Source organism: Homo sapiens, chromosome 14, assembly GCF_000001405.40.
Source record: "Homo sapiens chromosome 14, GRCh38.p14 Primary Assembly".
Taxonomy (NCBI): domain Eukaryota; kingdom Metazoa; phylum Chordata; class Mammalia; order Primates; family Hominidae; genus Homo; species Homo sapiens.
The window spans coordinates 32,573,109-32,600,853 of record NC_000014.9 but is presented as its reverse complement, the minus strand read 5'-3'; the positions used below and the strand labels follow the sequence as shown (position 1 = coordinate 32,600,853).

The 27,745-nt window shown below is 38.5% G+C and overlaps 1 protein-coding gene across 12 annotated transcripts in view; it reads right to left on the bottom strand.

Moving 5' to 3' along the window:
• AKAP6 (A-kinase anchoring protein 6) overlaps nt 1–27,745 on the bottom strand; it is a 508,387-nt gene that overhangs the window by 236,831 nt on the left and 243,811 nt on the right. For 7 of the 12 annotated variants that reach the window (XM_047431966.1, XM_024449755.2, XM_024449754.2 and 4 more), the window contains 3 exons: nt 23,612–23,734; nt 1,348–1,444; nt 62–228 (listed from right to left, as the gene is read on the bottom strand). In XM_047431966.1, the coding sequence (XP_047287922.1) occupies nt 62–228; nt 1,348–1,444; nt 23,612–23,734 (387 nt within the window). The remainder of the gene's footprint in view (nt 1–61; nt 229–1,347; nt 1,445–23,611; nt 23,735–27,745) is intronic. The other 5 variants (XM_047431969.1, XM_047431970.1, XM_047431967.1 and 2 more) reach the window with 1 other exon arrangement.

Genomic DNA, 27,745 nt, shown 5'->3' with positions numbered 1-27,745 from the left:
GGTGCCTAGTTCAAAAGAAGACAGAAATAAGAGGAAATAAGGCAAACTTCAAGCCACTTACCTTGGGGCTTCCAGTCCCTTCCTCATCCTCCACAGACACATCAGTAGCCAGTATCTCGGCTTTGATGGTATCCAGAGCCCTGAGAATCCAGCTGTGCTGCCGTTTGATTTGCCTCTGCAGCTCCTTCCATTGACTTGCAATCATCCGCAGCATGTCCTTCAGTCCTTCTCCAAAAGGAGGGGAAAGCAGAAGTTGTGGGCCTGAATGAATCTTTACTCATTATTTTTATTTAGTAAATTAGATGGCTATTTTAAACAATATAAATATTTTTAAATGACCATTACCATCACCTGCCATATCAGCATTTGTCACTCAGAATAGAGACAGGCAATTCTTAACATGAGGTATAAGGACACAAAAATGTGATAACCACATAGATGACTGGCTTGGAAACTGATTTAGACTCAGTATATTGACTTAAAAAAATACATGAGGAACAAAAATCACAATGTATAAAAATTAATAACATTACAGTTTCACATTCCAAATAAAAGGCTCTGTGTGTATCTGTGTAGAGACTTTATAATGATAAAAATTGTCTATGGAAATAGGTAAAGTCAATTCAATGAGAAATACAGTAAATAGGCCAGAATTAAGACGGCAGTCTTTAACATTAGTAAATCCAATTAATACTGTCTTTTTCCTATTTAGCTGTGCTAAGCTCAAACCTAGAGCCAAACTGTAAGTATCCTGTCTTACAGTCTTCTATTATCAGGATAAGTATAACCAAATGACAAAACTATTTTTTATTTATAATCTGTTCCTTATAAATATATTAATACTGGGGTAAGAATTGGTTGAAGGCCAAAAACTCTGCTAATGCAAAGACCAGCAAAGAACATGCAAAATGTTCTTGTGTGTGAAGCGGCAGGGAAATAATTTAGACTGCTTGCCTTATATCTGTAATGATATCTATAAGTACCCTAATGCGTATGCATTATAACTATATATACAGTTCTCATTCATTGTCTTAATGTTATTTCCAGAGCACCTACATCAAAAAGCATGTCAATGTGAAGTTTTCAAGAATGTAATTTCAATTGAAACTCAGGCAAACGGCAGCCCAAAATAAAATGAACAGACCATTTGGAGGCAGTATTTCATCTTATAAGTATCACAGCATTGTATGCAGTATATGAAACATTTATAAATCTTGAAGGTCAATCTGATAATGTAAATATTAATAATACATAAGGAAGTGAATATATGCAGTAATTTACAGCAATGCTTCTTCATTCTTAATAGTCTGGAGACGTAAAGACTTGCAATATTTCAGGAGGATTTACCTGCTTTGTGAGATGCAATAAGCTCAAGAAGTTGGTGTCCTTCCTCCTCCACAGCTTCCTTGAGAGCACAATGACTGTCTACATTCAACTTAAAACTCTGCAAGGAAAAATATGAACATTAAACCCTGGCAAGGCAGTTACACATAAAACATCCATATAAAATTACTTGCTACTTTTTATCAAGAACCACACAGCCCAATTTACCCAATAGACAAACTAATTTGCAATACTAAAAGCTATTGATATTTGGGATCTGGGCTCAAAATGTTTCCATTAGATTAGCTGAGTGCATCTGTTTGGAAACAGCTGACAAATCTAGAAATTCATTAGGTTTTTATGAAAAGTCACATCCCGTAGGCTATATCAAGAGTAGCAGTGTTCTATAAAATATACTGAATTTCTGCTAGCACATATGAGCTCTTTTCTTCATTTTTTAGAAATGTTAGTGATAGCACTATTTATGAAACCATAAAAAATTGGCAGCATAAAATATATTAGCCTTATGTGCACATATATAAATCCATTAATATAGTAGGGTTTGATTCAGTTCTGTTTCTCAGATATCACACAACAAAGAACACAGTTGGAGATTCAGGTGTTGCACTGAGGAGTTAAATGTCTTTCAGATCTTTGCTTTTTAAAAGTTTATTCCCTATAATATGACACTGCCTTGTAAACAAATACATCAAGCACAATCCGGCATTTTTCACTCATGATAGTTATCCAAAAGACAAAAACTGCTGTCATAGTTGAAATCTAACTCAGAGCCATTTCTTTCAGGGTGCCTTCCCTAATGCTTTATGTGGAATTAATTACTCCCCCCTCTCCGCTCCTTATATCTGCTTCTATTGTAAAATTTATCTTACTATATGCTGCTTTATTTCTATCCTTGGCTACCAAATTATAAGTAATTTGAAAAATTGCCAGTTTTACATTTATCTCCAATTCATGTCACATACAAGTTGTTCAATAGATGTTTGCAGGAATTGTGGATATCCATTGAACAATAACACTCTGAAGGGGAAGGTTTCCATTTAAATATTTCAAGAAACATAGATGGCTTTCCAAAGATTTTTCCATCTCTGTGATTACTGGAGAGTAATCACAGTAACCAATCTATTGAACCAATGGTTAATTTGGGGGGTGAAAATTCATTTCTTGACTAATTGGAGCAAGCATGGATTTTGAAATACTGTGTGGCCAAATTCTGGCATCTCCATGATAAGTCTCCAAAATATATATGTTTGCTCTCACTAAACATTTATTGAGAAGGTCTGCACTGCACTGTACTTGGTATTAAGAATATTTGATAGAAGTTTGAAACGATACAGTTCCAGGTAAAATATAATTTTGCGTTAAAGAAGTAAATCAATCATAAATTGTGAAATCATGTATTCATTCATTCATCCACTTAGAAACTATGTACTGTGCCCATTCTATACACTGTGCTGGGCAATAGAGATTTAGGGAATATAAAGCACGGCCTCTGGCCCCAAAGGGCAACTGAACATGTTACTAGAGAATGAAGTGTAGCCTGAGTCATCCTGGGTGGTCAGTGGTGAGTCTGAACTCTCCTTTTCTTAGCAGAGAAAATGGATCTTTTTAAAGTTCAGAATACTGAAACAATGATCAAAAGAACCTAGAAATGAAGGAGATAGAGATATGCAGATCAAGCCTTGAAGTATAAAGATAAGAATTATAAGTTATTATAATTGTAAGTCATTATTAAAAGATGAGTCCAGAATGATGAATCATTTCATCTGACTAGAGGCATAAGATACAATAAAGTTTCAGCAGCCAATATAACAGAAAGTGACAATATCAGGTTTCCCCAAGGCTGTTCACTATTTCTTGTACTGTCCTCTTTTAGCCACAGGTATCTGGTTGAATAAAATAAAATATGGCAATGTATGGGAAGCCTCATACTTCTGATCAATCCAAACTATATATTACCTATGAAAAATTAAATGTTTGTTATTTTATAGTCAAAACGTGCCTGCACTTACTTTTTGCCACTGCCACGGACATCCTCAACTCTGAAGCAATGCCATGCAGAATGAGATACATGTGTGTTTTAGGGAGCAGGGACAGGGTAAAGAGAACACTTAAGATCACCCAAGAGCACCAATATTTAGGAAGAAACTTATTGTAGAAATTTTCTCATAACTGTAAATTTAGCCTAGGGCTCTCTTTGATTCACTGTTTACTTACAATAGACCTGTTTTGAATAGTTGGCAATCATGAGCTTCCAAAGAGGTGCATGATGTCTATGTCTCAGAGCAAATGGGAATCTAAGGAACCGTAAGTAGGTTGAATAATTTGATATAATTGAAGCCAAGAGTATAGAATAGATGCAGCTGGAACTGGCTCTGCTTCAAGATGACATGGAAGCATTTGATTAGGAAATTGGAAAAGATGAGGTATTCATTATTAGGAAAAAGATAATCTGATAAGCTCGATGCTGTAGAAAAGAACCATTTAACATAACTATTACCCAAATGGTACAATATTGCTTGATTTTCAGGTGCACCCATTAACCATTAATAATATCAACTAAGGAATTCACAATGAGCCTCTGAGAAGGCAGACGAGCAGACACATTAACAAAATTGTCAATGAAATTTCTGGCTGCTAAAGGATTCTATAATAAGCTCTCGCCATTTTGTCCCCACCTTTTCCCAAGGGAAGGAAGCTTGGATGAAAGGGTTTTATTTTTTTGTTGCTGTTCTTTCCTTAAACTTGATACTTGAACACATTTCCATTATTCAGCAATGCCCTATGGTGTACAGTCCCTCTGCAATATCCATAGCACTCCCTGAAAATGCAGAGCATTCTCTGAAGAACAAATTTATGGCAAGAATATTGCCATAGGCACGTACCATGGTCCTATGGCACTGATTATATGAAATTCCATAAATATGAGTAATCTGGTTCCTGGATGACACCAGGTCTTTTTTAGCATCTTTAAAGCAGCACGTAGATGAATGACTAGAAAAGGATAACTAAGGAAATGGAAAAACATGATGACTGAAACAAGCACAGGATTATCAAAGATTCACCAATGGGCATTTCTATTACTATAACCTCTAGCATCACCAGCTTGCATATATCTGGATGTACTACTTATTGGCAGGACCAAACTTTGAGAATTCCCACTGATTGTACTTTGGTCATGATCAGATTTGCAAAGCAGATAAAATAATATGTCTAATCCTTTCCACTCATATTTCTGAATAGCCCAGTTGGATAGTCATGTGGACATAAAACCAAGGAAATATACGCCTTGATGGAAACAGATATCCTGGTACAAGAAAAAGTGGGAAAGATCATAAGCACATTCAAAAGCTTAAATGTCCAGAGTGGTTCAATCTTAGTAGTATCAAATCACGAACACAGACTTTCGATCACCTGATGGAAATACTGTTAGTTTTGCCAGGTGCACTGAGTTCCATTAGTCTTGTGATGTTCATGAACAAGCAGAAAAGCCAAAAAGAGAGTCTTTTCTGGTCTAATTTTTGTTTTTTTATAAGACATAAATTCATATAATAAATATTTATTGAGTAGTCTTTGTCAAGCCTATAGATATGAAAGTTAACAATACACAATCCTTATCCTCAAACAGCTTATATTCTATTGTGTAAAGGAGATAAGAAAACAAGTAGCTTTATAAGACCCAGCGTAGAATAAATGTGTGATTAGGGTTTAGTGTATAACACAGAGTGGTCGGGCCTTAAGCAAACTAAACAGTGATATGCCTTGCCCAATGGGATTCAAGTTTTTTTAAAAAATTTTATATAGGAATTATGCTGACCAAGCAAAAACAAGGCTAAATTAGCTGGGTGTGGTGGCATGCACATATAGTTCTGGCTACTCGGGAAGCTGAGGCGGGAAGACTGCTTGAGCCCAGGAGTTCAAGGTTACAGTGAGCTATGATCATACCACTGCACTCCAGCCTGGGCAATAGAGCAAGACTGTGTCTCTAACATAAAATAAAATACAAACAAGATGGAAGTTTATATTCTGTATAATAGCTGGATAGGGTTTGTGGGAGCCCATGCTGGGATCCAGGTTCAGCAGAGCCTAGCAGGGAGCTTGTGGAGAAAGAACTGATTTGTACACGGGCCTGAAGATAATCCTACATTATAGCATGAAGCAGGGAGCCACAAGCAGCTCAGTGTGGCTGGGGCAGGGTGCAAGCAGGAGAGACAGCAGCTATGGCTACACAGGACTTGACCCCAAGAACCATGAAAGAGTCATGGAAGAATATGCCAGTGACATGGGAGAGTGGCTGGTGCAAATCTGTGATCTAGAAATCTTTCTAGCTGTTGCATATAGTGTTGATTTTTAAAGGGCAGACTGGAGACAAGGAAGCCATTTAGGAAGCTGCTGTGGTAATACAGGCCAGATGTTTCTGCGTGCTCATATTTTTTTTAATTAAAAAAGGTATGCTTTTCCTTCTAAGTGAATAGAAGAAAAAATGGAGAAAATCTTCTGTCTTTTTAAGTTTTTCTCAGTGCGTGAGAGAAGCATGTGCCAGAATTTAGTTCTTTGGCTGTTCTGATGATAAATACCAGAGGTTATTAGTCAGGAGTCTCCAAATGTGAAAGACATATTGAACTGATGAACTTTTACTCCCACTGTCATTTTAAAGAGATGGTATATATGCTGATGAATAAGACACTTGACGACACTTTTTCTTCACACAAAAGATTTTTACTACCCTAAGAAAATGAAAACTTGCCTTTTTACAAGGGCAGGAGGAAGAATGTGTGTTCAGTCAGAAAAGCCAAGCCTTGAAAAGTCACCTGCTATCTGCCTCAGGCCATCTCTGCCCAGGCTCCACTCTGAGCTGTGCCCAGAACCACTCTCCATTCTCAGAGGGGCTCCTGGGGGAGAAGAAAGCCATGATCCTCTGTGTAGTTTCTCTTCTCCTCTCCACAATGCCATCCAAAGAGGATGGGCAGAGGTACCAGTCCTCAAAATATATCTTTAAAATGCCATATATACCAAGAATCGGAAGATTTCTATGAGTAAGCATTTAAGAACCTCCTGAAAACTTGATCAGACATTAGATAGCCATCAAAATGAAGACTAAACAATCATATGGAAAATACATAGAACATGCCACAAAAAATGAAGATTCCAAATTGTATCTATGATAAAATTACATATATGTAAGTAAATAGTCTTAGTACTTAGAAAAAGACTGCAAAAAATACAACAAAATGTTAATATAATTTGTACAGGGTTGAACTTGGAGTTACCATGGTCTGATCTTATGGAACAAGTTCTGGGTGCTTTAGTTTTCTGAAATATAAAATGGAAATCATACTATCTAACTTGCAGGCAGCTGTAAGAATTAGAGATAATGAATGTAAAGCATTAAAACACGGAGAATTGGAGATAATAAATATAAAGCGTTAAAGCAGTGCCAGGCAATGAGTGAGGCTAAAAAAATCATTACGAATTTTAAAATTCATTTTCTCTATTTTCCAAATAGTCTACGTAATAGATGGTACTTTGTGACATTTTCAGGTGATAAGGGTTCTTTATTGTTGAGGTTCTCTGAATTCCTCAAGGGCAGATACCAGGTTTCCTTTGCTGTGTGCTTCTACCCAGCACAGGCCTTCCCACAGAGGACCCCCCAAAACATAAATGCTGCTGTATGAGACATGGGGAAGAGCAAGCCCAGACTGATAATCCAATGATTGGGTATTCCTTTTGCCTCAAGTGTGTGCCCTGGGATGAGTCATTTAACCCACCGTGGCTTCTATTTCCTTATTTATCATCCAGGCATTTGGACTCAATATTTTCCAGCCCTTGAACACTTTGGTTTTATCTTCTCTAAGCCAGGCAGTTAAGCATAGGCAGCTTGGGAGAATTTTGATTTATTTTAAATCAGAGCATTTTCAAAAGGGGAAGAATCCCAAAGGCTATCTAACCACTCATCTACCCAAGGGCAGCTCTGTCTCTCAACCATCCCAGGCAGATGTGTCCCTTCTATTTTTAACCACCTCAAGGGAAGTCTCTTCTAATGTCTCATCCTGAGTCTGCAACATTTCTTGTAAGGAATTTAAGAGCTCTGTGAAGAGCAGTGTAAGCTTCCCACTGCTTCACATTCTTTTGCCAAGTCATCCCTCCAGTGCATGGGTTGGAAATCAGAAGCACTGTGAGAATATTCCAACAAGACCCACACATCCAATCAATCAACAAACCCTGACCATTTATTTCCCCTTCTTCATCTCTCCTTATTGACTGACACTGCCTTAGATTCAGGCTTTCATCATCATCCCTTGCCAGGTCAACTCGAATCACAACCCTCCTCAAAACTAGACTTATTTCTTATTTGTTGCATGTCTATGAAGGTGCAGGTAGTGTCTTAAGCTTGAAGGATATGGCTATAAACAAGATAGACATGGTCCCTGCCCTCACAGAGCTCACAGCTGTGTGTGTGTGTGTGTGTGTGTGTGTGTGTGTGTGTGTGTGTGTGTGTGTTGGGGTGGGGGTAGGGGACACTGTGTAAACAAGGAATTGCAGTCAGCTGTGTCAAGAGAGTTATGACATGCTGTAGAATGGGGCTGTTGACAAGCAAGGGCTCTGGAGCAGGACAGCCTGTGTTCAAATCCTGGCTCCTCCATCACTCACTGTGTAGCTTTGGCCAACCTCTGTGTACTCAGTTTCTTCATCTATAGATGACGGGAAATGTTAATACCTACTTCATGGGGTTTATTGTGAGGATGAAATGCCTTGATACATGCAGAATGGAGCCTGGCATACTGCAATAATGCAAGTGGCTTTATTATACAAAATGACCTTCCTACAAAACAGCTCTGACATTAAGACTCTCCAATGGCTTGCCAGGGTAGAGAATAAGACCCAGGCCCTGAGCATGACCTACAGGGCCCTCTGAGATGCCAGCTAATGCAACTTCACAGGCTACATATCTGCCTTGAAATGTACCTGGATTGCTTAAAGTTTCCAGCTCACACCAGCTGTCTTGCTCCGATTCTACTCTGGCTGGCACTTCTGCCTGGCAAGCTCTTCCCCTTGAAAAGCCCTGGGCATCCTTTAAGATTAATCTCAGGTGTGACCTTCTCTAGCAAGCTCTCCCTAACCATCTTCCACCTAACTGGTTTCCCCACCCTTGGCACCCATAGTACTTGTACAGAGCTCAAACCTTCACATACTACGTTGTGTTAAAATTATTGATGTGTCTGCTTCGCATAGATGAGTTCCTTGAGAGTAGAACTCTTTATTTTACTCATTTTTGTATCCTCAGTGTCTAGGACAGTGCCTGGCACACAGCACATAACTAGCAAATGTTCAGGGAAATGAATGCATGGAGATTTGTACAAAAAACCTCCCATGTAACTTTTAAACAGCTTGTGGCATTTTGGGAGACACTGATACAATCACTCTTCACTTGGAAGTAGTTGATAAATGTCCCCAAATTTTACTCAGTGAACACCATGTAAATGAGCTGTCATGTTCCTTCACTTACAAAATTACTTGCCAATTACAGTTAGATGATCCCAGCGTAATTGCCATGTAAACTGTACCCTGGCTGAGATAGCCCAAATCATCAATTAACTTTGCCCTCTCATCATGTGGTACTTACCACATAATTAAATAAATGGTCAGCCGCTACCACAATTGTCTATTTCCCCAACAAAATGAAGTGGCTACATTTGTCATTGATTTATCAGTTATGACAATCTGTAACACACCTCTAGGTATAAAAGCAGAAGCTTTAAAAAATAAAAGAACTCTGTACTCTTGAGAAAGATGTTCCAAGTTTTTGATCAAAAAGATAAGCATTATAAAACCTTTGTTTTCCTTTTGAAAAAAAAAAAAAAAAGAGAAGACACTGAGATATGAAGACAAAAAAATCCTCCTTCTTCCTGAGGAGACTTTCTTCCTGAAACCTCAGACAATAAAAACATTTCCAAGAATTTGAAAGTGAATTTAGCTCTTCAAACAAGTTACACAAGTTACAATTTATTTCAAACAAACAGTTGCTTTTTTTTTTTTTTTTGGTGCAAAGTAGATGCATCTTACTGAAGCTGACATTCTTTTCTGATAGACTGGCTAATATGTTATGCAAGAATTAGATAGAAGGGAGAGATCCTGAATGTTGACGGTGGCTCCAAGTGACAGAATTTTCATTTGCTTCTCTGGATGCCATCTCCACACCTGACACAGGTAATCACATTCACTTCCCAGCATGGCCACATTAGGCCAAATGGATTCCCAAACAGAGGTTCTGTCTAAAGGGACCATTTGACTTCCAGAGGCCCTGATTGAAAAGGAGGTCAGTGCTGGCCCAAATATTTCTCTACCCCCTGAGGTGGAATAATTGATGTGCAGCAGCCCCTACAGATGTGGATTCACAAGAGTGATAGATTGATATAAGTATATTATTCACACGTACAGCTGCTAATATACAGGTCCCAGTGCAAACACCAGGACTTAAGAATATTATGTGGATTTAGGACAATCCCTGAAGGACTCCAGTTCCATTAAAAATTTGTTTGGCAGCCTGGGGCAGATCTATTCCAACTCCCACATGTTTCATGCATTTGAGAGGGGGAACCAAACCACTTTAAAAATAAATTTAATAAATTTTGTAATGTCAAGTTATTAACATCCTGTCTAGTCATACCGTCTTCATATTTTAAAACAGTAACATTTACCTCTGAAATTAAAAAACATTCAAATATCGGAGTTAACATTTTATCTGAGAAGACATTCCTGGTGTTTTTTGTCAAAGGCGATAAATTGCATCCTGAAAACAGAAGAAAATATTCCTATTTTTCCCTCTAGAGATGTTTTTCTTGTCACAGATATACCAAACAATACCTAGAAAGCCCTGTGACAAGTCCATTTTGATTTGTAAATGGTAGAGGAAATAACTTGTAGACATGCTCAGTTATCGTTTGATGATTTATAACATTTGTTAGAATCTGTTGCCCACAGTGATTCTAACACTGCTTTTATAAATGTTCATTCATTCATTTAGCAGATTTTGTTTGTTTGTTTAGTTTTGTTTTGTTTTGTTTTGTTTCTGAGACAGAGTCTTGCCCAGCCACTCAGGCTGGTGTGCAGTTGTGCAATCTTGGCTCACTGCAACCACTGTGAGCCACTGTGCCCGGCCTTAGCAGATATTTTTAATACCTATCATGCATGTGCAAGGCTAGGAGTTGGGGGAGACACCAAAGAGACAAAAGCCATCCCTCAAGTAGGTGACAGCATCAAGAGAACAGCTGAGGGGAGGGTGGGCAGGGAGAATCTCAACTTGTCTAAGAACACCCAAGCTTCTCACACCAAATGTTCTTGGGTCTCTAAGGAAGATTCCCCCAAATGATAAAAGCATGCTCATCCTCACATAAAACATGTTTATTTCACCTTCACAACAACCCTATAGATATAGAATAGGCATTTTTCTGGCTAATGTAAAGATCTAGAATTTTAACTTAATATTATTTATATCAGGTGAATTATTTCAAGATTCCAAAATTCCACATAATGCAATAGAGAAGTAGGGTAAGCTCATGAATCTACACATGGAGAGAGATTGTAGGTGACCACACCCCAGCTCATGTGAGTCTCTCATCCATGCACAGTGTCCTTCAGCCTGTGCATGGAGCCTCATAGTGTGAGGCTTGTCTGTAAACTTTTTCTTCAATGCTTTGTATAATACTGCCCTAAATAGGAAGTGCTTAATAAATGCAGTGTTTCCCCGGCATTCTAATTAAAAACAATCATTATTTCCTAAAGAGAAAAATAAAGTAATAAATTAGTAAAATATCTGGGCACTAACAATTTTCAAAACAATAACTACTGGGTATTATGGCCCAAGAGTCCTTAAACTGAGACAGGCAAAAAGTACATTCCCAGGTGCTTTAAACAGTGCAGGAATCCTATTTAACTGAAAAGGGAAGCTAACACTATTTGTCTTCTAGATGCACAAAATTAGAGTTACATGAGTAAAGGAATGTAGTCCAAGACTTTCATATGTCCAAACTGAGCCTCCTACGCTACCATTCCCACATACCAACCTCAAAATGCCTGTATGCTATAAATTTCTGAAAGACCCTTCCATCCCTGTGCCACCAAAGGAAGAAACTCAAGGCCAGGATTTGAGTGGTATTCCAAGTCCACCAAAGAGAAGTAATGTTGCCACTTCCCACTAAACTCTCTGCGACTACCCTTAAACTGGTGGGAATCAAGGGGGACAAGCAAATGGGACTTCAAAGCCCGTGTAAGGCCACCAGCCTGCTCATCAAGGCTGAGGGAGGTGGGGGCAGTCCAGTGAAACTCTCATAGCTCATGCTTTTGAAGTTTGATCCACTGCTCCCATTAGCTGAGCAGCACAGCCAAATGACAGCTGCTGGTCTTGTGAAGCTTAACTTGCTGGGGCCTTGGCTGCCTATGGAGATGCTGGGAGAGATGGGCACCAGGAAGTGGGAAAAAGAAAACCCTGTCATCTCTTAACTTCAAGCAATGAAAAACGGAGCAGAGGTAGAGACAGGAAGGCAAGCAAGAGAAAAACAGCTGAAAGTATTTGGGGAAATTTTCCTGTATGGCTAAAAACTCTGTAAGAAGTATATTGGTTTTTCTTATGAGACAAACGAAAGCTGTTTAATCAGAAATATGATATAACATGAAGATCTAAAGAAATACAGATGATAAATGCATGCATATATCTTTGAGAATTTTTTTAGACACTTCATAATTAAATTGAATCTGTTTTTATAAGTATTTAGTATAATGACACAATAAGGAAACATTTTCAAACCCTTCACGGATACCAAGACTGTAAGCACTGTCTGTAGGAATTTGGTGCTTCTGTGCCACCATGTGGCAGTCACCTAAAATTGCAGGCATCAATCTTAAAAGGAACAACAAAGTTCAGGAAGGTGTGTTTTAAAAGTCTACTACTATAAACATGGCCTCAAAACTCATACACACACAAACGCCACTCATTTTTCAGGACTTAGAGAAAAAGCTGTCCCTGAAGTGGACAGATTGATTACAGAGAGTCTCTGAATTGCTGCTCTAGGCAGACACAAATGGGACAAGGAGGAAACTCTCAATTGGTGTTACAATAAAGTTCATTGAGTATTATTTGCAAAAGCATAAATAAGAAGGCAGTTTGAATGCCCATCATCATGGAAATGATTAAATAAACTGTGGCATATCCACACAATAAAATATTAAGGAGCTGCTAAAATGTGCAATAGATCTTCATATACTGATAGAAGAATATCTGTGACATATTTAGATAGAAAAAGCCAGTTGTTGAACAGCATGTATAATATGAACTAAATAATCCTTAAAGTGTATGCATTTTTCCATAAAAAGGTTCAAAAATGTATAGAACTATTTACATTGGTTACCCAAGGGAGGGTAAGACTTTTTACTTTTAATTTTATGCTGTTTAACACAATTTGATTTTTTTCCAGTAAGTATAATTTAATGTTTTTCTTTAAGCAAAGTTCCATAATTATAGAAGTTGTATAAAAGACAGCTTGCTCCACCTTTACCATGTACCCCTGATACTCACTGTACTTGTACGACATTTGCCCCTTCTTTTCCATGTAAATACTACTTATAATATCACGTTACCTGGTTTCACACACCCCTGGAATGGTCCTAGGGTCTTGGTCCTGCTCCATATACAGATAGAGAAGCTCTCAGCAATTTCTGCATCCTTTACTACACTCAAATCTTGCCCAGCTGTAGAGCAGTGGGCTGTCCTGTGCTATAGCCTTAGGGGAAACTAGGACAGACAAAACATGTTGGTCATGAGATTTCTGACTAGAAAAGAGTGAGCCTCAAAAAGAGAACGGCTGGCATGTCTCTCTAATCTGTTCCTCTTTCTTGAATCTATTCCCTCTTCTCTATTCTTAACTACCCCCACCTAGCCCTGATTCACCATTTCTCTCATTACTCCAACATTCTTTAACCCACTCATTTGATTATAACTACCCTGATCTTAAGCTTGTTCCTTCCTAGTCTAAGTAAGCAAACTCCCTAGAACACACTGGTCTTTCCAGAACTGGAATCCAAACGTGCTTTTGCCCCCTAGTAGAAACCCGTTACATGCTTATTAGCCTGGCCCTCCATGTCTGCCTAACCTTTGATTCCTCAAACTGTTGAGATATCCGTATGCTTTTAGAACAGAACCCCAGAATACTTTTTAAAAATTTCCTATTCACAGAGAAGAGACTAATTTCCTTAATATATAGAAAGCCCCTATAAATCCTGAAGCAAAAAAAACAATGACCAACAGAAAAACAGGCTAAGAATTTTAAAAATAGTTCTCAAAAAGGAAATACAGATGACTCTAAAAACATGGAGAGATATTCAATGCCACTTAGAAGACAAGAAATACAAACTAAACTACAGTAAGATGCCATCTGTAACTATCAGAGGGACAAAGTTCAACAAATGTAATAACATACTCTGATAGCAAGAATATGCAGAAATAGGCACTCTCATGCATTGTTGAGTATAAACTGGTAAAATCTCTATCAAGGACAGTTTGGTAATACGTTACAAATTTAAATATGCTTAAGCTTGACCTAGAAATTTCATATGAAAGGTATTTGTTCTAAGGATATACTTATAGTACCCAACATGATGAATTTCCAAGGATATTCACTAAAGCATCATTTGTAATAGAAAAAGACTGTAAACAACCTAAATTTCCATCACAAAGAACTGGTTATGTAAATTATGGCATATTTGTAAGTAGAATACTATGCAGCCATCCAAAAGGATGAAGTCATTCTATATTTATTGACTTCGAATTATTACTAATAGAAACTACAGGAACAAAGTTAAGTACATAGATATATTTCTTTGTGTTTTTTGAGACAGTCTCCCTCAGTCGCCCAGGCTGGAGTGCAGTGACGCAATCTCAGCTCAACCTCTGCAACCTCTGCCTTCCGGGTTCAAGAAATTCTCATGCCTCAGCCTCCTGAGCAGCTGGGACTACAGACACGCGCCACCACACCCAGCTAATTTTTGTGTTTTTGTAGAGACGAGGTTTCACCATATTGGCCAGGTTGGTCTCAAACTCCTGGACTCAAGTGATCTCCCTGCCTCCACCTCCCGAACTGCTAGGATTACAGGCATTAGCCACCATGGCCAGCCTGTTTCTAAATACCTGAAATAAATCAGAAATGATATAATGAAACAAGGAACATTGGTTGCCTCGAGGGAGGAGAATCAATGGGAACATGAGTAAAAAGGGGACTTACTGTTGACTTTAACCTTTTACTCCCTTTCTTTAATTTTTTAATTTAAACACAATTCATAAAACTGATAAAAGCTTGCCTGTACCAGCATATCCTTCAAATACTATACCCAAATCCATTTTCTTTCATGCACAGAGTTATTCTCTCACCTAAGCCACGAACCTCATCCAGTTAATCTATGAAGGCTGACCCTACCCCCATCAAATATATGGTTGATTTCATGTCGTTCTCCTGTTTTAAAACAAACCCGGACCTTCAATGAGTCCCCATTGCCCCCAGAGGAAAGTTTAATCCATTAAAAAGACATTCAAACTCCTTTACCACCCAGCCCCAACCTGTGAGACTCCAATCTAGTCTCAGCTACACCACATGGCTCACCATACCTCTCTCACCAAGCTTATAAATTTTCCTCCCATCTCCCATCCTCCCTTCCCTAACAAAATTACATATGGCCTTTGAGGTCTATATCAAATTACCTCTTTGAAGGTTCCCTACTCCCAGAAAGAACCAATAAAATTTTTCTCTGCACTCCTAAGAATACTTTGCTTATCCTACAAGAAGTTTACTGATTAAAATTGTTAGTCATTTATGGGTCTATAGATGACTACATATAATCTATCGTTACCTCTCTTAGACTGAAAATCCCTTAAAGAAAGAAACCAAGCTCATTCATCATGTATTCCTAGCACCTAAATAACCACTCACACTTACAGTTGTGTTGTACATACACACACACACACACACACACATATATATAGTTCATAGTCACCATTTTCCCCCACAGTCCTCATTTATCAAATTGAATTAAGAACCTTGTTTCTCCAAGGCTATTTCTATGTGGTTGGTTAACGTGTGTCCAGAATAACACGGTGCTATCTATGCAACTATACTTCCTAAGTTTAAGCCAGGCTCTTGTGGTTGATTGTTTTTCCTACATCTTGCACAGCTGTCTGGTATTGGTTTGACTTCACTTATTCTTACTGAATATACTGATTGGCTGCAGATAAAAGAAGCGCTGGTTTGTCTCCTTGTGAATGATTACATTTGATGAATTAGGTATGCATAACAACTTGGGAAATCAGAGTTACCATTTCAGGAGCAAATGGATATGAAATAAAATCTCTAGAGGGGGAAACTGCTGACCTGCTCTGCTGCTTTACTCTTAATTCTAAGGATACTATAAAATCTCTTAAAGGGGAAAAAAAAAAACTAGTTACCCAAGAACTATTTATGACAGTTATTCACTATGCTTCTATTTATTATGCTTCTACTCAAATATAGCTTTTAGTAACTCTGTTTCTTAAGGCAATAAAAAAGGTGTTGGGGAAAATGGCTTAAATGTCCATCAACAGGTGAATGGATAGAACAAATTGTGGTATATCCATACAATAGACTACTTCTCAGCAATACAAGAGAATTAATAATTGATACATGAAACAACATAACATATCCCAAAATAAGTACACTGAATGTAAGAAGACAGACCGAAAAAAATACATATTGTTTTATTAAATTTATATAAAATCCTAGGAAATGCAAACTAACCTAATAGTGTCATAAAGCAGATCAAGGATTGCTTAGGGATGGAGTAGAGGCCAGGGAGGGGTAGGAGGGAAGAATTACAACGTGTCATGAAGAACCTTTTGGGTGATAAGTATGTTCACTATCTTAATTGCAGTGATTGTTTCATGGGTGTATATATTTGTCAGATTGTCAAAACTCATAAAATTGTATACAGTAGTCCCCTTTATGCATGGTTTTGCATCTTCAGTTTCAGTTACCTGTGGTTAACCATGGTCTGAAAATATAAATGCAAAGCTCCAGACATAAAAAATTCATAAGTTTTAAATTGCACGCCATTCTGAGTTGTGTGGTGAAGTCTTGAACCATCCTGCTGTGTCCCACCTGGGGCGTGAATCATCCCTCTGCCCAGCATCTCTATGCTGTATATGCTACCTGCTCATTAGTCACTTAGTAATCATCCAGGTTATCAGATCAAAGACATGGTATACATGAGGTGTGGTGCTATCTGAGGTTTTAGGCACCCATTGTGGGGCTTGGAACACATCCGCCTCGAATAAGAGGGACCACTGTACTTTAAAATGTGCAATTTGGGTAGCAGCCAAGATGGCCAAATAGGAACAGCTCCGGTCTACAGCTCCCAGCGTGAGTGATGCAGAAGATGGGTGATTTCTGCATTTCCATCTGAGGCACCGGGTTCATCTCACTAGGGAGTGCCAGACAGTGGGCGCAGGACAGTGGGTGCAGCGCACCGTGCGCGAGCCAAAGCAGGGCGAGGCATTGCCTCCCTCGGGAATCGTGAGGGGTCAGGGAGTTCCCTTTCCTAGTCAAAGAAAGGAGTGACAGATGGCACCTGGAAAATCAGGTCACTCCCACCCTAATAATGCGCTTTTTCTGACGGGCTTAAAAAACGGCGCACCGGGAGATTATATCCCGCACCTGGCTCAGAGGGTCCTACGCCCACGGAGTCTCGCTGATTTCTAGCACAGCAGTCTGAGATCAAACTGCAAGGCAGCAGCGAGGCTGGGGGAGGGGCACCCGCCATTGCCCAGGCTTGCTTAGGTAAACAAAGCAGCCAGGAAGCTCGAACTGGGTGGAGCCCATCACAGCTCAAGAAGGCCTGCCTGCCTCTGTAGGCTCCACCTCTGGGGGCAGGGCACAGACAAACAAAAAGACAGCAGTAACCTCTGCAGACTTAAATGTCCCTGTCTGACACCTTTGAAGAGAGCAGTGGTGGAGATCTGAGAACGGGAAGACTGCCTCCTCAAATGGGTCCCTGACCCCTGACCCCCGAGCAGCCTAACTGGGAGGCACCCCCCAGTAGGGGCAGACTGACACCTCACACGGCCGGGTACTCCTCTGAGACAAAACTTCCGGAGGAACGATCACACAGCAGCATTCGCGGTTCACGAAAATCCGCTGTTCTGCAGCCACCGCTGCTGATACCCAGGCAAACAGGGTCTGGAGTGGACCTCTAGCAAACTCCAACAGACCTGCAGCTGAGGGTCCTGTCTATTAGAAGGAAAACTAACAAACAGAAAGGACACCTACACCAAAAACCCATCTGTACATCACCATCATCAAAGACCAAAAGTAGATAAAACCACAAAGATGGGGAAAAAACAGAGCAGAAAAACTGGAAACTCTAAAAAGCAGAGCGCCTCTCCTCCTCCAAAGGAACGCAGTTCCTCACCAGCAACAGAATAAAGCTGGTAGGAGAATGACTTTCACAAGTTGAGAGAAGAAGGCTTCAGATGATCAAACTACTCCGAGCTACAGGAGGAAATTCAAACCAAAGGCAAAGAAGTTAAAAACTTTGAAAAAAATTTAGACGAATGTATAACTAGAATAACCAATACAGAGAAGTGCTTAAAGGAGCTGATGGAGCTGAAAGCCAAGGCTCGAGAACTACGTGAAGAATGCAGAAGCCTCAGGAGCTGATGCGATCAACTGGAAGAAAGGGTATCAGTGATGGAAGATGAAATGAATGAAATGAAGCGAGAAGGGAAGTTTAGAGAAAAAAGAATAAAAAGAAATGAACAAAGCCCCCAAGAAATATGGGACTATGTGAAAAGACCAAATCTACGTCTGATTGGTGTACCTGAAAGTGACAGGGAGAATGGAACCAAGTTGGAAAACACTCTGCAGGATATTATCCTGGAGAACTTCCCCAGTCTAGCAAGGCAGGCCAACATTCAGGAAATACAGAGAACGCCACAAACATACTCCTCGAGAAGAGCAACTCCAAGACACATAATTGTCAGATTCACCAAAGTTGAAATGAAGGAAAAAATGTTAAGGGCAGCCAGAGAGAAAGGTCGGGTTACCCACAAAGGGAAGCCCATCAGACTAACAGCGGATCTCTCGGCAGAAACTCTACAAGCCAGAAGAGAGTGGGGGCCAATATTCAACATTCTTAAAGAAAAGAGTTTTCAACTCAGAATTTCATATCCATCCAAACTAAGCTTCATAAGTGAAGGAAAAATAAAATACTTTACAGACAAGCAAATGCTGAGAGATTTTGTCACCACCAGGCCTGCCCTAAAAGAGCTCCTGAAGGAAGCACTAAACATGGAAAGGAACAACCGGTACCAGCCACTGCAAAATCATGCCAAATTGTAAAGACCATCGAGGCTAGGAAGAAACTGCATCAACTAACGAGCAAAATAACCAGCTAACATCATAATGACAGGATCAAATTCACACATAACAATATTAACTTTAAATGTAAATGGACTAAATGCTCCAATTAAAAGACACAGACTGGCAAATTGGATAAAGTGTCAAGACCCATCCGTGTGCTGTATTCAGGAAACCCATCTCATGTGCAGAGACACACATAGGCTCAAAATAAAAGGATGGAGGAAGATCTACCAAGCAAATGGAAAACAAAAAAAGGCAGGGATTGCAATCCTAGTCTCTGATAAAACAGACTTTAAACCAACAAAGATCAAAAGAGACAAAGAAGGCCATTACATAATGGTAAAGGGACCAGTTCAACAAGAAGAGCTAACTGTCCTAAATATATATGCACCCAATACAGGAGCACCCAGATTCATAAAGCAAGTCCTGAGTGACCTACAAAGAGACTTAGATTCCCACACAATAATAATGGGAGACTTTAACAACCCACTGTCAACATTAGACAGATCAACGAGACAGAAAGTTAACAAGGATACCCAGGAATTGAACTCAGCTCTGCACCAAGCGGACCTAATAGACATCTACAGAACTCTCCACCCCAAATCAACAGAATATACATTTTTTTCAGCACCACACCATACCTACTCCAAAACTGACCACATAGTTGGAAGTAAAGCTCTCCTCAGCAAATGTAAAAGAACAGAAATTATAACAAACTGTCTCTCAGACCATAGTGCAATCAAACTAGAACTCAGGATTAAGAAACTCACTCAAAACCGCTCAACTACATGGAAACTGAACAACCTGCTCCTGAATAACTACTGGGTACATAACGAAATGAAGACAGAAAAGTCAGGAAACAACAGGTGCTGGAGAGGATGTGGAGAAACAGGAACACTTTTACACTGTTGGTGGGACTGTAAACTAGCTCAACCATTGTGGAAGTCAGTGTGGCAATTCCTCAGGGATCTAGAACTAGAAATACCACTTGACCCAGCCATCCCATTACTGGGTATATACCCAAAGGACTTTAAATCATGCTGCTATAAAGACACATGCACACGTATGTTTATTGCGGCACTATTCACAATAGCAAAGACTTGGAACCAACCCAAATGTCCAACAATGATAGACTGGATTAAGAAAATGTGGCACATATACACCATGGAATACTATGCAGCCATAAAAAATGATGAGTTCATGTTCTTTGCAGGGACATGGATGAAATTGGAAATCATCATTCTCAGTAAACTATCGCAAGGACAAAAAACGAACACCGCATGTTGTCACTCATAGGTGGGAATTGAACAATGAGAACACATGGACACAGGAAGGGGAACATCACACACTGGGGACTGTTGTGGGGTGGGGGGAGTGGGGAGGGATAGCATTAGGAGATATACCTAATGCTAAATGACAAGTTAATGGGTGCAGCATGCCAGCATGGCACATGTATACATAGGTAACTAACCTGCACGTTGTGCACATGTACCCTAAAACTTAAAGTATAATAATAATAAAATAAAATGAAGAGTGTGACTAAAGGGAAAAAAATGTGCAATTTATTATGTGTTAAATATACCTCAATAAAGCTGTTTTTTTAAGTGTAGGAGGAAGACAGAGGTGAGAGAAGGGAGAGAGATAGAAGTCTGTCCAAGAACATACCTATACAATTCTATCTTAAAGTGGTTTTCAAAGAAGAGGGAATGTTCAACACTTGCAAAATACCTTTCCAGAATGATATTTTCCTGAAAATGTCATTTTCTAGGCAGGTAGGAATTGTATTTTTGAAAGGAGCAGCCAGGTTGCAAGCAGATGATTAATTATCATGGAAAATCATTGATGTATCATTGCAATTTCACAGTGTTTCTTACAGTTAAAATAAAGCTCCTCCATATCTCTTATAAAGGTATTATAAAGCTTTAATTGATTTGTGTTGGTGAAAACCCTTGGTACCATCATGGAAAATAACTGAATTAAGTATCAAAGTATGAACATACAACTTTGAGTATGATTTTTATATTTTTCTTTATAATAAATATTGGAGGTTGCCAGCTAGTCTAACACATTAATAAACCAGGGAAGACTCAGACCCTAGAGGCTTGCATATCTGTTGATTTAATGTCAAATATAGAGTCTAGAGAGATGTTTAAAGAAACTTGTGTAGCTACCTCTACTACTGGATAATCTTGCAAATACCACTTGCCCCCTCATTAAAAAACAATAATGACTTATGCACGGTTAACTAAAGAATACAAATCTCTAGGCTTATTCATACATTTTCTTTTATGGGAAGGTTGAGAAGAATAACTTATCATTAATTCAGCATGACAGTAAAGAAATACAATAAAAATGACAATATTGATCAGGAGGACAATATAGACTCATATGGAAACAGGAAAACTAAGAATTTGATTGAAAGATGTTTGAGCCACAGGCTGTATCTAAAGTAACAGACACAGCATCCAGTGTAACAGTAGCTCTTGATTGCGCTTTAAGAATATCATTCAGTGGCAATACACACACACTAGGTCTTCAGTAACTGTTAGACATTATTATTCATTATTTTGGAAGTCAAATTTGAGACTGTAATTTAACATCCAGTCAACAGGTCTGTAGATCAAAGTCCCTCACTATTTGCAAAGTAGAAATAAAGAAGATGTTCTATGATATCTCTATTCCAATCAATATAATCAGACATGGGATAGTAGAGAAAACTCATCTAAGAAAATGTTGATCATTAGGCAGAAACAAGACTATTCTTTAAGAAATAAATATCTTAAGAAGGACTCTTTGCTGTGGATCTTTATACTGGTGGCCCACAGCAAACTGGAGAATAACTTCCACATTTTGGGATGAAAATGTCATTACGAGGCAGGTACAGATATTGCCGTTCGTTACGGTCACCTATAAAAAGCTGGCAATTTGTAAGGCTAGACAGAATACAGAAGTCACTAGCCACATGTGGCAATTTAAATTTAAATATGTCAAGTAAAATTAAAAACTCATTTCTTCAGTTGCATTAGCCACATTTCAAATGCACAATAGACACATGCAGTTAGTGGCCCCCACATAGGAGAGGGCAATATAGAATATTCCATCGTCACCAAAAGCTCCAGTGAACTGCATTGGGCTAGAAGGAAGTAGAGGCTAACATAAGGATGCCAAGTAAGAAACCCTGTAATACTGTATTTGAAAAAGAGAGTGCTCATTGGTTACAAAGAGGCCATATCATTCAACCTCCAAAGGGGAAAAAGGGACCTTGGGTCCATACTCTCCTAGCCCGGCTTTCAATAAATAGTCCAGAGTTAAAGTGCTCTTCATGCCCTTGTGCCCTCTGGGACCTCAAAAACTAAATGTGTGTTTTCCATAAAATATTAAGTCAAGAGAAAGTAAGACAGCACACTTAATGTGAAATAAAGTTCATATACTCCTGTTTAAACACAGATTAGAATTTCTGTCAGAACAATGCCAGTGAAAAGTTGACATTCTAATTAATACAATTTACATCATAAAGCACTGAATATCTTTATCTTGCTATTATGAAATGCCCTCTTTAAAAAAAAGTTGAAACTCTACTCAACAGGGAAATGAGTACTAAGGACAGTATATAAAAACCCATGTACAAGAGAGGTGGTTAGGGTCACTTGCATTTTTACACACCATCGACTCAGGTCTCTAAAAAGGGAAGCAATACACTCATCCTCTACCACACAGTTTTGTCATTCTTTATCATCTGCAAGGCTATTTGCATGCAGCAACAGGATTTTAAAGCTGTTTTTCTGTTATATAAACATGCTGCAAAAAACAAACACCAAAACCTGAAACATTATCTCTTTCCCCTCTTTTCTCCCTCTCCATCTCTCCCTTCTCTCTCTCACTTAACATCATAGAGAACAACAGTTCTGGAACCCTGTGAACTCGCATACAGGTAGGACTCCCACATAATGTTTATTCAATCCAAATTCTGAGTGTGTAAGAGGGGCAGAAAATCAACCCCACAGTTGAGTACCCAAGGATTCATGTTCATTGCCTTTGTCAATTTTATGCTATCAGTGAAAGGAATAAAGATGAGATCCTTACAGCTTGAATTTTCATTTCCTATGACACGTGCTTTTTCTTCATGCTTTATCACACTCCACTACTTAGTTTCCACCCCTTCATAATTGATATCGGCCATTTGAAGCATTCAGTAAAAACCCCACGAGGTTCATCGAATGTCCCCCAGTCTATAATTCTTGCTTTTAACATTCAGAAGCAAATTCATCTGAGTGTTTTCCACTTCCCCTCCATGGTTTTCTCTATGCACAGGGATGAGTGTAATGACAGTTGTATTAATTATATGCTGAAAAACCCACATAGCAGCAAAAATGATGGAGATCATCATTTTAAATATTTTATTAAAATAACCCAGTGTAGAACAGATAATGTAGACCCTCTTGATAATGAGAGGTTCATTAATTTTACAAGAATTCTAGAAAGCTTAGAATGGTCATCAAAATCATCTCTTTCATTTATTTGTTTTTAAGAAAGGGAAAACCTTCAGTTGCTGCTTTAGAGAACAAGGGTCTAATAAAATTTTCTAAGGTATTTTTAAATAATTACTTATCCTTCCAGGAAAAGCTTTGAAAAGGTAGCTTGAAACAGAGATGATTTAGGTTTCATAGTATTACTTGAAATGCCTGTAAATTTTCATCTTCTGTGACCCATTAAAATTTGGTTTCATTGACATATAGTAACCTTTGATAAATAAAATTGATATTTCTCATAAACAAACAAGCAGTACATTAAAATCCTTTGATTATTGACAGCAAGAACAACACAATCTTGCCTACCAAGTGTGTCTCCAGATACAGTTTAAGGTCATCCATCTCTGCTTTAGGGGGAGTCCAATTTTCTGTAGTTTCCATGGCTTCATTTAACCATTGAATGAATTCATCCAGTTTGTTTACAAACCCCTTGTGAAAGGAAAGAAAAGGGGAAAAAAAGGGGCAAGAAAGGCATGTTAGTTGGTTATTCTGTAAAAAGCCAATATTAAAAGTTCCAAATTTTATCCATGATCAAATCGATCCCACCGCACTCCTATCCTAGTTTCATCTTTGCTGTAATGGAATTTCCACTATTCCTGGACCTGAACTCTTACCAAAATGGGAAAGAAACTGTCAATGCTTCCCTCTCAGTTTTTCTCTAGAATCACTTTTCTGAGGAATTTGGATTGGATTGTGGGGTGTCACTGTATGGGTGACCTCAAAACATCAAAACATTTCTGGTGTCTGACAAGCATCCCCCTGCCAAAAAATCAGGTCAGGTCTGCTAGGAACACTCGTTGGCTTTGGGGGATTGCCAAATCCTTTACAGGGATTGGCATTCCTGTAAAGATGTTGTTCTTCACCCAGAAGCCTGTGGAGTTTAGTTGCCATAGCTGAACTAGAAATATATTTCAAAATTACATAAGTATTTACAGGTCCTTGGACGAGTTCTGTCCACAGCCCAAATGTCTGTGTCTGAGCCTGTGTGCTACAAAGGAAGGAAGCGTAGAAAGTGGGACCAATGAACAAACATAAATACTTGACTTCGGGTATGTACAGACATAAAGATATATTCTTGGCTAGGAAGCACAAATCACAATAACCTTGCAATTTTTCAAATAGTGGTTATAAAATTTTATTGGCCATTTAGAAGTATACATCTGTAGAAACAGAAAATATTTTGAAAATATGAAAGCCCAACTGCAAACCTAAGTGAAAGAAATGGGGCTGGGCTCCTGCTTTCCGTGTCTGGGTAAACAGCACCACCTGGAGGTCATAAGGAGCAAGGGCAGGCTTCCACACATAACTAGGAATGGGTTGAGATGCCGTTTCCCTATTAAACTTAACCCATTCTTCAGATGTGCCTTTCAAATAATCTTGATTAATATTTTTAATGCTTAACTGAGGATGTCCTGACACTGAAGTGGAAAGAGGTAAAAGTAAATATTTTTTATAATGTTTATCACAAGCTAGGTTTTGCCATTAGGGTTTTTCCTAGATAATATTTTAAGATTCATAAACCTTTAATTCAAGCAATTAGATTACCTCAAAAAAAATCATGAGAAAAAGAGAAAATGGAATTGTGGAGAGTGGTAAGTAAAAAAACAAATAACACTCAGGAACACAAATTGTTTATTAGAGGGGGACAAAGCAGAGATGTGGGCACAGAGTCCCATAGAGTCAGATCATACCATACTGCCATGCTCTGGTGTGTTGCCAACCTGTTTAGATAGAGCTCAGTCTATCATCCCACATAGTGGTACATCATATGGTTTCCCATATTCATACATGTTTCCAAAAGCTTTTCCTATTGAAAATCTCTCTATTGTACCAAGTCTCCAAGGAGAGTCACACCCAGGGATACATATCACAACCAGATTTCACAAATGCAAGATTTCTCATTTATATTCTTTCAAAAATCTATCCCAATTGGTTAGATTTGATAAAACTAATGAGAAATATCATCTTAGAGACATCATAATCACAAACTGAGACCTACACAATTGCAATTGGCTGAGCTGGGAACTATATGGTAGTTTAACATTCCTCCAGTCCTAGACTCCAACCCTAAACTGATTGACAACATCATTGAGGTTTCTGTTGGTCATCACTCAGAAGATTTTCTTCCAGGTGAGGTGAAAATATGTCCAACAGAGAAGGTTTCAGAAATTTCATACAATGTATTCCCTTACTAAGTGAATTTTCTGGTGATCTACCAAACTCAGCCTTTTTTTCTAATTTTCTCATATTGCAACTCTTTCCAAATGCCAAGAATCCATGCAAGATCATTCATTTTGCCCCTTCTCCTATCTTCAGGGTATCAGTTTGTCTGTTCTTTCGCCTTTCCTGCATTTGCATAAATTTGAGAGTTGCTTTGCTTTTCATTTCCTCCCAAATACTTGACTCTTTTAATATCGAAGTTACACTTACTCAAGCTCAGTCTTCTCAGTAGAGTGTCCCATGTGTTCAAAATGTTATTTCCTAAACTCCTTTATCTGGTAGACTACCTAGGGATCAGAATATTTCACAGGTTCATATCTGACTTGATGTTTACCATAGATCCCTTCAGATGTGTACAGTAAATCTGTGAGCAGAAATAAGGGCAGAGTCTGTTAGAACTCCAGTCCTAATTCTCGATACTCTCATAATTAAAATTTTCGTGAAAACTTAAGAGACCCTTTGCTGACCAGATGGACTTACAGAAGTATTGTCTGTCATCTGTGGATGCTAGTCAGAAAAGCAGAATTTAGATGGTTTATAAATGGGAGATGAAAATAGTACTTTATACTTCTTGCAGCATTAAACAGTTTTTACTATTGTATTTAGAATTGTGTTGTTATATCTGTACATATAAATTGGTTTGGGGAGAAAATTAAGTCAGAAAGTATATTATTTAGGGAACAAGTGGTTAAATCCAAGAAGATAAATAGTGAAAGACGTTATTTGAAATGTAACTAGTTAAAAAACCATGCACTATCTTCTCCCCTTCAAAAACAAACACAAATAACCTGTGTGTGTATGTCAGTGCATGGTTGCTTCATCATAAAAGTTAGTCTTAGCCAAAAAGCACTAAACAATGTGTCAGGTTTCCTAACAGAACCATGATTACATAGTTAGCTGAAATCTGTGAGATGCAGATTAGACAAAACCCATTGGTCCTGGGTGAACATTTCCGGATGGCACCTCTGTGTATCCCAGCCAGATAGCAAAACAAGGCTGTCTGATATAGGGGAAACAGGAGTCCTCTCAAGGATTCTCTCTGGGTTTCTTCTGAGTTATATCCCACCCTCACAACTTTTTATTTGTTGCACATTTCCTATCTCTTTTCTTGCCAATACTAAAAAGTTTCATCACTCACAATAGAAACCTGAGATATCCCAGTGTTCCGAACTTATAATAAAAGCTAAGCACCCCGTCCCTTTAGGGAGATCTAGCTTTCGACCTCCCTTCCTGCTTCTATGTGTAGCCTCAAGAATATAAACAGAAATCATGAAAGAAAGCAAAATTGGGGTCCATTCAATTCATGATACCTTTATCACATGCTATTTTTCCACTTCACTCAGCCCCCTCTATCTGTGTACTATCACCGGGTTTCTGTGTACAGTGGACAGTGTACTAGGTACTCTCCCCCTATCAAGAGATGTGCTTAGAAAGACCAAGAAAGTGCCCCTCTATACACAGACCATGTGGATGTGCAGGTGTATTCACATTTGGACACACACAACAAATACTTGATGCCCATTTTCAGAAGCTCTGCTGGCATCTTTGTGGTGTGAATGAAAGAAAATAAGGATGACATACGAAAATGGAAAAAAAATTTAAAAATTATTTTGAAACACAGATCAAATCCTAATGCAACAAATATTGGTCATTTATTTTTTCATTTAACATATATTTATTAAGTGCCTTCTATGTGTGAAAAAGCACACTACTAGACATTGCTGAAAATACAAAGATAAATATCATTGTGGCAAAAATTTCAGCAGAACATATAGCATGTCTAAGGCCTGAATTCAAGTAATTTTAATAGTCAAAAAAGATTACAATAAATAAAGAGTTGGGACACTCTTCTGGATATTGTGAAATTATTATATCTGTATCGGAATTCTGTCTGTAACCAAGTTTGTTCTCACTCTTAGTATTGGCCTACCTATGTGTGTTTCTAATATTCTGAATTCAAATTTACTTCTCTGGAAAGTCAGAGGACTATAAAAATCAGATTTTCTTCATGATATAACCCAATGCCACCACTGCACTACATGAAAAGTACATTTTATGCATGTTCTACTCTCTGCCACAGGCTGAATTACAAACCTTTGAAAGGCTGCATTTTAGCCTTCATTGTTCAAACTCCTCCTGCTGTATCTGTTCAGTGTCTTTCCTGTTATTTTCTACCAGTGTCCTTATTGTCCCTTTCTGCTGCTTCTTCCATTACTTTTC